The sequence below is a fragment of the Homo sapiens genome, chromosome 6, assembly GCF_000001405.40.
Source record: "Homo sapiens chromosome 6, GRCh38.p14 Primary Assembly".
NCBI lineage: Eukaryota > Metazoa > Chordata > Mammalia > Primates > Hominidae > Homo > Homo sapiens.
In genome coordinates, this window is record NC_000006.12 from 121,237,185 (window position 1) to 121,250,408 (window position 13,224).

General features: G+C 34.0%; 1 protein-coding gene across 25 annotated transcripts in view; it reads right to left on the reverse strand.

Annotated features, from left to right (window-relative positions):
* The window catches only part of TBC1D32 (TBC1 domain family member 32), a 255,236-nt gene that overhangs the window by 157,691 nt on the left and 84,321 nt on the right, over positions 1-13,224 (reverse strand). For 24 of the 25 annotated variants that reach the window (NR_104452.2, XR_942346.3, XM_047418311.1 and 21 more), the window contains 3 exons: positions 5,017-5,155; positions 4,281-4,368; positions 1,886-2,004 (listed from right to left, as the gene is read on the reverse strand). Coding sequence is in view for 23 of the 25 variants with exons in the window: in XM_047418311.1 (XP_047274267.1) it covers positions 1,886-2,004; positions 4,281-4,368; positions 5,017-5,155 (346 nt within the window). In the remaining 2 variants the exon portion in view is untranslated. Of the gene's footprint in view, positions 1-1,885; positions 2,005-4,280; positions 4,369-5,016; positions 5,156-13,224 lie in introns of those variants that run through there. The other variant, XM_047418319.1, reaches the window with a different exon arrangement.

A 13,224-nucleotide genomic window follows, 5' to 3' on the forward strand; every position in this document is an offset into this window, starting at 1 on the left:
TTTTCCATTTAGCACATTTAAGATGCTCTACTGCCTCCTGGTTTCCACTATTGTAATGAGATATGAAAAATTTTTCTGCTAATCTCTTATATGTAATATGTGATTTTCTTAAGCTTCTTTCAAAATTTTCTCTTTATCTTTGGTTTTTAGCAGTTTGTCTATGATGAGCCTTAGTGTAGTTTCCTTTATATTTTCATTCTCTACATAAATTCTCTTTGAAATTTACTAAGTTTTTCATCTATAAATTTCTACTTGTCAATAAATTTGAAGATTTTCCACTATTATTTAGTCAAATGTATTTCTGATATTCCAATTACATACATGTTAAACATTTTGACATGGTCTCACAAATCACTGAAGTTTTTCTTTTATTTCATTCTCTGCTCTTCAGACTGTATAATTTCTATTGATCTGATTCAAGTTCACTACTTCTTCTATTATGTTTAAATCTGTGAAGGCCATGTAGAAATTTTTATTTCATGTAAGTTTTTTTTAATTCTAGAATGGCTATCTGGTTCTTTTACATAGTTTTATTTCTCTACTCTGATTTCTAATTTTTTTATTCATTATAAGGATATTTCCCTTTATATTCTATTTATAATAACTGCTTTAAAATCCTAAATTCTTCATTTCACAATCAATCTGTATTAGTTGCCTTCTTCTCAAGAATGAATCACATTTCCATTTTCCTTCATATGTCTACTGATTTTGGATTGTATCCCATACATTGTGAGATACGCCATAGAGATCCTGGATTCTATTATACTCCCTGACAAAGAGTACATTAAAAAATAAATTTAGCAGTTACATTGGCCAGATTCAAACTGAACTCTCTAACACCTATGATAGGTAGCATCTGATATTTCTTTACAGTTCACAGGCATACTTGAGTGATTAGTCACATTTCTGGGCAAAGTATATACACAGAGTTTGGAGTGTCCCCTCTGTGGGTCTATTTTCCAGGGACCTCCTTTAATTTTCCACCTGCTGTGTAGTCCTAAGCTTTCTATTCTGGTGCTTCAAGCATTTTAGATTTCTATCAGTGGAGCACAAATTTTCTACCTTAAGCAAAAATCTGTTAAATCCAGAATCTCAAGAAATACCACTCTATTCATCCATATATTAACTTCCCTCTATTTTCTGCCTATTTTTGGTCATTTCAATGCTTTTAGCTACTTGATTTTTAACTTATTTTTTCCAGAATTTGTGTTTTCTATGGGAGTGAACTAGTCCAGAAAGAGAAACTTCTGAAACATTGGAGTGTTTTGCTTTTTAAGCAATCTTATGACATCTTTTGAATAAAAATTGTCTAAGCTACCATACAATCAAAGTTAGGAATCGTCACTTTATTTTAGTGAACTTTGGAGAATATGTTAAATGTAAAAAGCCATTGAATTATGATAGAACATTGGGTGACTGATTTTAAAAATTTTGTGACCTCACTCTAAATGATAGCATCTTCTCTCTGTCTGTACTTCCTTCAAATATTCCTGACAATTTTCTATTAGATTCAAGCTATAGGGCAAAACATTTCTTGGATTTTTATATTCATTGGTTGGTTGGTTGGTTTTTCTTTGTTCCAATGATTTTTTTTTTGTAACATGTCTGGTACATTATTACTCTTCATTAAGGGAGAAAAACTTTAATAGACATAAAGTAAAAGAAAATAATTCTTGCAAAATATTATTCCCACAAAACACTGGGATTTCTATCATTTGCTAAACTTATTTTGAAAATAAAAATAATAGTTTGAAAATTAAAAAGAGGAGAAATAAATATATTAAAAAGTCTGCTGGTTGTAACTGAATATGGATAAAGTATGAACGAATTCATTTCTGTGAAATACTTTTCAAATCTGTGTATTATTAGTCAAATAACTTCTTACCTTTTGACAGCTTCGGTCAATAGGATCCACTGGAGTAGTTCTGGGATGGGTTACCCTAACATCATCTCTTCCATATTCCAGATTGGACCATAATTCAGTTATAAGTTCATTAATAAACCCTAAAAAGAATTATTACTTCAAGTCATTTATAGCATAATATTTCTTTGGATTATGAAGGAAAGATATGATGATCCCTCTGATGAATCTGGTCTACTCTGACAGAAGACACATACTTGCATCTTATATAAAAAATAATCTCTTCTTGGTAGAAATTATATCTGCTATTGTTAATATACTTTTATGATACTTCATTATCATAAAACTCTGTAATAACTAAATTCTGAGAGACAATTTCCCTGGAAGACTGCTGAATTTTGAGTCCCAGCTTCTTCACTTTGGCCTATAACTTCTCTGAGCATGTTTTCTGAAACATAATAAAGTTTATACTTTGCTTTGCAAATCAGCCAGCAAAGTAAGGCAGTCTGAAATCAGACTGTGTTTTTCAGAGGTGAGGGGAGGAGAGAAAGAGGTAACAGGAGGCCAGGTAGGCATCCAAAGAGTGTATGCTCCCTTATTCCAATATAACTAATTTTTTTTTGTAATTCCATACACTAAGAAGAATTCTGCATTTCATACAACTTTTGCTTCAACCCAGTCTTTAAATTCTTACGAGTCATACTATACAACTAAACGAAAATGAATATAAAACCTGATTCTCAAATTAGTCTATTAAAAAATCAAGTAGAAAAATCATGTGGAAAAGTGTCAAACACAACATTGAATCCTAAAATAAGTAAGTTCATAACAACAATATTCGATCAGAAAGGGTCTTCTGGTATGAGAGAAAAAAATATGGGCTCTAAAATCAAGAATATTAGAGTTTAAATTCCAAATATGCCAGTTTATTAGCTGTTCATCCTTGCAAAAATCCTGTGACTTCTTGGAGCCTTAGTTCCCCCATTTGAAAATTGAAATAATGATGCCATAATCCAAGGTTGCCATGAAGTATCAACAGGACAATACATGTGAAGTTCCTAATATAGTACCTACGACATCGGAGAAGCTCAAGAAACTGTAGTCTTCCTCCTTCTGTCCTTTGAAAACTACACTTACCCCTCTCATGAAAAGTTTGAGACTCTGATGCTCAGAAGCTTAATGATTTTACCAAGGGTGAGATCTGAGATTAAATCTAGTCTCCAAATACTTCAGTTAATGTGCTCTGGATACTGCACTACATGAATTTTATTCTAAGTAGAAGAAAAAAAATTAGTGGTTCAGTTTAGGACAATTTTTTTTTTTTTTTTTTTTTTTTTTTTACCAAGAAACATGTTTCATAATACAAGTAGTCCAAATTAGTTCAGCCCAAAAAATAAATGTAAAATATACTATAGGAAAAATATTTGTATTTAAAGAGAGAATCAGTAGTGATCACTCATGTTATAATTCAACTCTAAGCCTTGAAAAAATATTGTCATAGCATCTCTATCAGGGATTATATATTGTTCAGAGCTCAGATAACCTTAATATAAGACATATTGGCCGGGTGCGGTGGTTCACACTTGTAATCCTAGCATTCTGGGAGGCCAAGGCGGGCGAATCACCTGAGGTCAGAGTTCAAGACCAGCCTGGCCAACATGGTGAAACCCCATCTCTACCAAAGATACAAAAATTAGCCAGGCGTGGTGGTGGCCTCCTGTAATCTCAGCTACTCAGCAGAATTGCTTGAACCCAGGAGGCGGAGGTTGCAGTGAGCTGAGACTATGCCATTGTACTCCAGCCTGGGCGACAAAAGTGAAATTCTGTCTCACAAAAAAAAAAAAAAAAAAAAAGACATACTAAATTTCCAATGTTTTAACTTCTTACAAATCAAATGGACAGGGAAGAATATGTACTTAACTGTCAACTTCAAAGATAATGTGAAAGCTAAGTGGTAAGACAAATGCTTTCAAGAAGAAAAGAGGGAGAAAGGGAATTAGGAAATGTTATGTAAATGAGTGTAAATTTTGAAGCATATGTAAGCCACTGACAATAAGCATTAGATAATCCTATCAGATGGGACTGTACTGAGAGAAGATGATATTCTTCTGATTTATAAGATGAAGGAAGATTCTTAAAGCATTAAGTACGTTTCTCCTGAGTTCATTATTTGCCATTGGTCCGAGGCAACAGAACAAGGTTGTATATATATCACAGAAACACAAAACCGTATTGGAATTTCATGGAAAAAGAAAGACAAAAAGAAAATCCTGTAACTTTCTTTTACATAAGGTCTAACTTAGTAAAAAGAATTTTAGAGTAAATATCCTGATACTTAATTGTGCCAGTTAAATTTTCAGTTGGCTTGCTCATTTTATCTTTAAAATAATTATAATTCTAATGAAAAGAAAACATTTACCTGACTTTTTTAGTGCAATGCCACCTGCTGCTGTTGATGCCACTCGTGTAACCAAAACTCCATAGCCAAATTTTTTATGCCTGCTGACCTAACAGCATAAATAAGGAACAGCAATGAAAAGCAACAAAACATGGCATGCTAACTAGACATTCCTTCAAGATGGTAAGAACTGCAAAAACAAACTCTGAAAAATATTTTAAAATCATACCTAAGATCTTAAAAAGCCCAAAAGTCTAGGGATATTTAGTATGACAGAAAAAAAGCTGATTACAACTCAGTGACCTTTGACCTTTGACTGTTAAAGACTAAATTATATTGTAAATTTATTTAATAGTAGAATAATAGAATGCCTCTACAAATATTTTTGTTTCCTTTAAAATGTGAGGCCTAAATCTTCACTGACATATACATTTAGACACAATAGGTTTATTTCCTTAGGAAATTCACCCAGTTTCACTACATCCAGATGTTTGATATCATAATTATAAAACATACGATAATTAACTGCATTCTTCAATTCCATCTGGTTGTTTGCAATTCTGTAAATACAGCCACAGACACTAATATCAACTCTCTAATGTTTTCCTAAAAAAAAATCAAGTTGACTATTACAATGCTATATGGTCTTTTAACAGAGGCTTAATAACTTCTTCATACACAGAAAACAGAATGATGTTCTTAATGGCTTTTAAAACCACAAAAATTCCCTTTGCCTTTGGCAGATGGTAATTCATACCTGTAATTTTTTTGCATATCGATTGAATATAAATGTCACACATTCATTGATAGCACCTGTTCTTTGAAGAAGTAGTAATCCTTTGGGGGTGGCAGCAAAATGTAGTAAATCATCTAACAAATTATCTTCCCAAGCCATACTGAAATAGGTAAAAGAAAGGTAGAGCTTTCTTTAAGATACTAAAAACTGAAAACAAAGAGTATGTCTTAGCTGAGCTTAACCCTGTTTACAATTAAAGTTACACAGTATATATTGGTTGCAAATTAATCAATAAAGGTTTAAAATTAAATAAAAACATGGTTTCTTTGGTAGTGAATTCTTTTATTCTTACATTTTCTATACCTATAATTTCTCTTCACTGAATGAAAAAAATGTTAACTGCATATGTCAGCATTTTTATTATACCCAGGTTCTCTCATCCACACACTAATTTCCTTCTATTTTCCTATTAAAATTCTGCTGTGCATGAATTCTCCAAACCTCAACACCCCATTATTTCTGTACTTTCTTTTCATTATAAAGTATCTGTCTTCTGCTTTCAAAAGCACGTGATAGATATTATCTCTTTTCGATTTTCATAGGTGTTAATTTATTTTACTTTTGGGGAAAGATATTTTTTCTCAGAACACTTCTATAAGAAAGATCAACATATATTTATAAAACTAAAATTCTAGATAACTATAAGACTGGGAATTATGGATGTTTGGAGAATCAATGCTTAGTCCAAGTGTGCTAAAACCCATGTTGCATTTGAAAACATGACACAAATACCTAATTACTTTTTACTTTCTTTGAAAATATATATAAATATATACATTAATGTCTTAGGAATAACCACTTTTTAAAAAATGGAAATACAACTTATAAATTCAAAACCAGCAGAGAAGGAAAAAATAGGTATAATGAAAATTTTATCCATCTAACACAAAGCAATAGAGGAAAGAAGCAAAGAAAATATAATTACAAAACACAAAATAAGAAAATAACCCCAAACATATGAATATCTCAAAAATGTAAAAAAAACTAAACTCACCTAATAAAAAATATAGAGAAATTTGGAGGCTGGGTAAAAATACAAAATTTGCTACTCAGAACAGTAGAAAGTAAAAGGGTTGGGGGAAGGAAAACTATGTGTAACTGATAATATTGACTGGCTGACCCAATCCCCATCTACAGCCACTTTTTCACCAACCACCATCTGGCCAGAGGTGGCCATATGAAAAGTCCAATAGGATGTTCACAAAAAATCTGATGAGAAGAGATTCCTTTCCTAAATAAAAGACAAGGCATCATGACTTTGGATCATGACAAATCTACCCTATAGTGAGAGATTATATATCAAAATATTAGTAGAGATATTAAAAGTTTTAGTAACAAAACACACACACACACAAACACACACAAACAATATCAGCATCCAATGAAGAATATATTGTCTTTTCAAGCAGACAGATTTTTTTTTCAACTGACCCTGTAATGGGTCACAAAGTAAGTTCAACCAACCTAAAAACATACATAACATGAAATCCATGTTCTCTAAAAAGAATATATATAAAAGTCAACAAAATAAAATAGTAAAAACAACTATGTTTGAAGACCAAAAAAAAAACACAGACGCACTTCCAATATTTAATGAATTAAGGAGTAAAATGAAAATAGAAATTACAAAAATATTTAGAACAGCTTAATAATGGAAGTATCACATATCAAAATGTATTCATTGCTACAGTTAATATAGATTGCTTCTCTCAACATCCATTCTCAAACCCCTTCCACTTACTTTCCTCTACTATAAAGGCAAACGAGGGAGTAAGAGAGGGAGAAAAGCAAGCATTAACAAGACCAAAACCTAGTCTGCATAAACTAATGCAATAAATTGGTCAAGAAGGGGAGAAAAGGACAAAAAATACTAAGAATCCAAAAAGGGGAAATAATTACAGCAGGAAAACAATTACTTTTAAATCACACACAAATATTTTTTAAAAATTTATATAATAAATAAATATACAAGTAAAAAAGTATTGTTATTTTTTAGAAAATGTAATCATAAGTCATTCAAGCAGAAATAGAAAATCAGAATGAGACATTACCCATTAAAGAAAATGAATCAATAAAAGAAGTCTATGTGAGTCCTCCCAAAGAAAACAGAAGCAAAAACTTCCAAGTTGTATCATTATATGACGTGAAAGAGTACACATATGTCCTTTGTGTTAAGCTACCAGGGCAGGTGGAGAAATACCACTAAGTGGGGGCAGGGTCTGAGCTCAGACTCCTTAGGTGGGACCTGCTGTGGGGGTGGTTTTCAGGCCACTGAGGTAAAGTTCCAGAGGGGAGTATAACTGCCTCTGCTGTGCTGTGTTTTTAGTTTGAAATCCTCTACTATGATTTGTCACTTTTTCATTTTTATTCATGCACTTATTTTCTACTCACTTATTAAATTACTTATTGGGCCAAGTGCTCTGCTGAGTTCTGAAGATACACATGAGCATATTATGTAGTGTAGAATACAAATAAGTAAATATGGTATGGCAATACAGTATGCTAAATTTATATGATATGGGTTATGCAGGGTCCATTGGGAGCCAATTTGTGGGAGAGGTCTTTCTGGAAGTTATTGTCCAATACGTTATAAAGAATATATAGCTTAACACAAGGGACATAAACTTTTGGGAGCTTTATGGCCTTGCCCATCACCTAAGAAATCAGAACACTTGTCCTGGCCAACTTAAAGCAAACTTAAAACTCACTGCTACTATCACAGCTGGTACTCCTCTTGCAAGTGCCACTTCCTGGCTGGAGGCCAACAAACTCAGGCCATTACAGCACCTCACTGCAGTGTAACACTGTGCCTAGGAAGGAGAAAATGGCTGTGGGACTTCAGCTAACACCACTGCCTGCAACACCCTGGCTACCCAGAAGTCCTGAGTCTGTCCACATGACAAATCACTACAATTATAACCCACCTTCAAGAAAGCCAGCACATTAAGACTATCTACAATCAAGGAATCAGAGAGTCTACATCTACCAGAGCAGGTGCTGGTATCCACTGCTGGGAGACTTGAAGACAGGTCACATCACTGAATCCTTTGCAGATATTCACAGCACCAGCCTGGAGCCTGGCAGCCCTACTGGGTGGCTAGACCCAGAAGAGCAATAACAATCACTGCAGTCCAGCTCTCAGGAAGTCCCATTCTTAGAGTAAGGAGGAGAGCACCACATCAAGGGAACACCCTGTGGGATGAAAGAATCTGAATGGCAGGCCTTGAGTCCCAGATCTTTCTGCTGGTGGGAAATTTCTTACATCACAAACATAATTGCAGTGCTGGGCACAGTAAGGAAAGTCTACCTCTCTATCCAATAGGCAGACAGCCTCTGTGATAATGGTCTTGGAGAAGGGATCCTTGGTCCCCCCGGTACATTACTGCAGACAAAACTGAGCCTTCTTTCATGGGAACGGAGCATGGATGCACCTACAGACAGCCTTCCTAGAACAATTCAGGGTGACTTCAGCCCCACGGGAGGAGCAAACTCCCCTCCCCCCATCCCCAGATTCAGGCCTGCACAAGAGGGAGAGTGACTATTACTCCCTACTTGAAACATCAACATTCCCACAGATGAAAAGAGGTGTGTGTCTGGTCTGAATAGCTGAACACTGGAACAGTTGTGAGGCTGTAAGGTGGATAGATTTCCTGCTGGCCTGGGAGGGAAGCTGAGGTAGCTCCTACCCTTTGCCCTAATAAAACCTCAGTACATCTAATTGAGAGCTCCCCCAGTCACCACCATCATGGCTGGGACCTCTGACCACTATTGGGTATTACATCTACTCACCTGCCTTAGCTACAACTGGTGCATACCCAGGGGTGCCTCTCCTATTAACCTGAAGCCCAAATCCTCAGTAAATAAAATACTGGAGAAAAATTAAATAAATAAATAAAGTGTACAACACAGGAGAATGAGATAAGCCTCAGGAGATCCCTGCCATTCCAGTCCTGCCGGAGACAGTGAACTTGCCCACACACCAAGTATATAACTACTACAACTGGCATCTGGGAAAGACAGTGCACAAAGATTCTCCATAACTAAAGAAATCACACCGACTCTTCAACCTAAAAGCACGAAGAATTAAATTAGGCTAAAATGAACAATACACATTAAAGTCAGATCCTTAAGAGAAAAAAAATTTTTCTAATCCGATCAAAAATAAATTCAAAAAACAAGTTGAAGAAACAGTCTACCCAAATGAAAAAAGTAATTCTGGTAATTTGACATAAAAGGGTTCTGTAACACCCCCAAAAGGTCACAGTAGGCCCCAGCAATGGATCCAAACCAAGAAGAAATCTCTGAAATGCCAGGTAAATAATTCGGGAGGTTGACTATTAAGCTACTCAAGGAGATAACAGAGAAATGCAAAAAACAAGTTAAAGAAATTTAAAAAACAATTCAGTATATGAAAGAAAACTTTTCCAGAGAAATAGATATAATAAAGAAAAAAATCACAATTTCTGGAAATGAAAGACACACTGGGACATAAAAAATACACTGGAAAGTTTCAACAACAGACTAGAACAAGCAGAAGAAAGAATATGAGAGCTCAAAGAAAAGGTTTTCAAATTAACACAATCAGACAAAGACAAAGAAAAACTCTCCAAGAAATATGGGATTATGTAAAATGGCCAAACCTATGAATAACTGGTGTTCCTGGGGCAGAAGACAAGTCTAAAAGTTTGGAAAACTCATTTTAGGGAATAATTGAGGAAAAGAAGCTCAAAGAACACCTGGAAAATTCATTGGGAAAAGATCACCACCAAGGCACATAGTCATAAGGTTATCTAAAGTCAAGATGAAGGACAGAATCTTAAGAGCTCTGAGAAAAAAGCATCAGGTAACCTGTAAAAGAAAACCTATCAGACTAACAGTAGATTTCTCAGTAGAAACCTTACAAGCCAGAAGGAACTGGGGTCTTATTTATAGCTCCCTTAAGCAAAATAATTGTCAGCCAATAATTTTGTATCCAGCAAAACTAAGCTTCATAAATGAAAAACAGATAAAATCTTTTTCAGACAAACAAATGCTAATTAAATTTGCTACCACCAAACAAGCACTACAAGAAATGCTAAAAGGAGTTCTAAATCTTGAAATAAATCTTGATATACACCAAAATAGAACCTCCAAAGGCATAAATCTCACAGGGCTTATAAAACATAACACAATGAAAAAAAAAAGTATCAAGGCAAAAACTAACATGATGAATAAAAAAGTACCTCACATCTCAATATTAATGTTGAAAGTAAATGGACTAAATGCTCCACTTCAAAGAAACAGAGTAGGAGAATGGATAACCACCAGCAAAATATCTGCTGTCTTCAAGAGACTCACTTAACACATGACTCACATAAACTTGAGGTAAAGGGGTGAAAAAAGACATTCCACACAAATAGAAACCAAAACCAAGTAGAAGTAGCTATTCTTATATCAGATAAAACAGGCTTTAAAGCAAAAAAAAAAAAAAAAAAAAAAAGACAAAGAAGGACATTATACAATAATGGATTAGTACAACAGGAAGATATTAAAATCTTAAATTTATATGCACCTAACACTGGAGCTCCCACATTTATAAAACCATTACTACTAGACCTAAGAAATGAGATTGACAACAACACAGGAATATTGGGAGACTTTAATACTCCACTGACAGCACTAGACAGGTCATCAAGACAGAAAGTCAACAAAGAAAAAATGGACTTAAACTATACTCTACAACAAATGGACTTAACAGATATTTACAAAACATTCTACCCAACAACTGCAGAATATGCATTCTATTCATCAGCATATGGAACATTCCCCAAGATAGACCACACGATAAGCCACAAAACAAGTCTCAGCAAATTTAAGAAAATCAAAATTATACCAAGTACTCTCTCAGACTGCAGTGGAATAAAATTGGAAATCAACTCCAAAAGGAACCCTCAAAACTATACAAATACATGGAAATTAAACAATCTTTTCTTGAATGATTTATAGTTTAACAAAATCAACATAGATATTAAAAAATCATTTGAAATAAATGATAATAGTGACACAACTTGTCAAAACGCCTGGGATACAACAAAAGCAGTGTTAAAAGGAAAGTTCATAGCATTAAATGCCTACATCAAAAAGTCTGAAAGAGCACAAATAGACAACCTAATGTCACACCTCAAGGAATTAGAGAGACAAGAACAAACTAAACCCAAACCCAGCAGAAGAAAAGATATAACCAAGATCAGAGGAGAATTAAATGAAATTGAAAGAAAAAAATACAAAAGATAAATGAAGGAAAAAGCTAGTTTTCTGAAAAGATAAAACTGATAACCATTAGCAAGATTAACCAAGAAAAAAGCAGATCCAAATAAGCTCAATTAGAAATAAAACTGGAGTTATTACAGACAATATCACAGAAATATAAAAGATCATTCAAGGCTACTATGAACACCTTTATGTGCACAAACTAGAAAATCTAGAGGAGATAAATAAATTTGTGGAAATATACAACCATCCTAGATTAAATTAAGAAGAAACAGAAACCCTGAACAGACCAATAACAGCAACAAGATTTAATCAGCAATTAAAAAAAACTGCCAACAGAAAAAAGTCCAGGACTAGATAAATTCATAGCTGAATTCTATCAGACATTCAAAGAGAAACAGTACCAATCCTACTGAAACTATTCCAAAAGATAAAGAGAGAATCCTTCCTAAATCTATCTATGAAGTCAGTATCACCCTAATACCAAAACACAAAAGGACATAACATAAAAAGAAAACTACAGACCAATATCTCTGATAAACACAGATGCAAAAAAATCCTCAAAATAATACTTGCTAATCAAATCTAACAACATATCAAATAGGTAATACACCATGATCAAGATAGGTAATACATCATGATCACAATGTAGGGATGGTTTAACATACACACATCAGTAAATATGATATATCACATAAACGGAATTAAAAACAATAAAATTATTATTATTATTATTATCTCAATAAAAACAAAAAAAGCATGTGATAAAATCTAGCACCCCTTTAGATTAAAACCCTTAACAAAATAGGCATAGACAGGACTTACCTCAAAGTAATAAAAGCCATACAGAACAAACCCACAGCCAACATCATAGAGAATCGGAAAAAGTTGAAAGCATTCCCCCTGAGAGCTGAAAAAAGACAAGGATACCCACTTTCACCACTTCTATTTGACATAGCACTAGAAGTTCTAGCCAGAGCAATCACACAAGAAAAAGAAATAAAGGGCATCCAAACTAGAAAAGAGGAAGTCAAACTGTCACTTTCTGCTGATTATATGATCATATACCTCAAAAACTCTGAAGAGTCATCCAAAAAGCTCCCAGATCTGATAAATAAATTCATTCAAGATTCAGGATACAAAATCAAAGTACACAAATCAGTAGCACTGCTATACATCAGCAACAACCAAGCTGGGAATCAAATTAAAAACTAAATCCCTTTTACAACAGCTAAAAAACAAAAACAAAAACCAAAACAAAACAAACTTTAGGAATATACTTAACCAAGGAAGTAAAGATCTCTACAAAAAAAAACTACAAAACACTGTTGAAAGATATCACAGATGACACAAACAAATGAAAACACATCCCATGCTCATAGATGGGTAGAATCAATATTATGAAAATGACCATACTGCCAAAAGCAATCCACAGATTCAATGCAATTCCCATAAAAATACCACCATCATTCTTCACAAAACTAGAAAAAAAAATCTCAAAATTCATATGGAGCCAATAAAGAGCCCACACAGCCAAAGCAAAACTAAGCAAAAAGAACAAATCTGAAGGCATCTCATTACCCACCTTCAAATTATTATACAAGGCTATAGTTACCAAAACTGCATGGTACTGGTATAAAAATAGGCAAGTACGAATTCTACCAGAGATACAAAGAGAAGCTGGTACCATTCCTTCTGCAATATTCCAAACAATAGAAATAGAGGGACTCTTCCCTAACTCATTTTATGAGGCCAGCATCATCCTGATACCAAAACCTGGCAGAGACACAATAAAAAATGAAAATTTCAGGCCAATATCCCTGATGAACATGGATGTGAAAATCCTCAATAAAATACTGACAAACCAAATCCAGCAGCATATCAAAAAGCTTATCCACCATGATCAAGTCGGCTTCATTC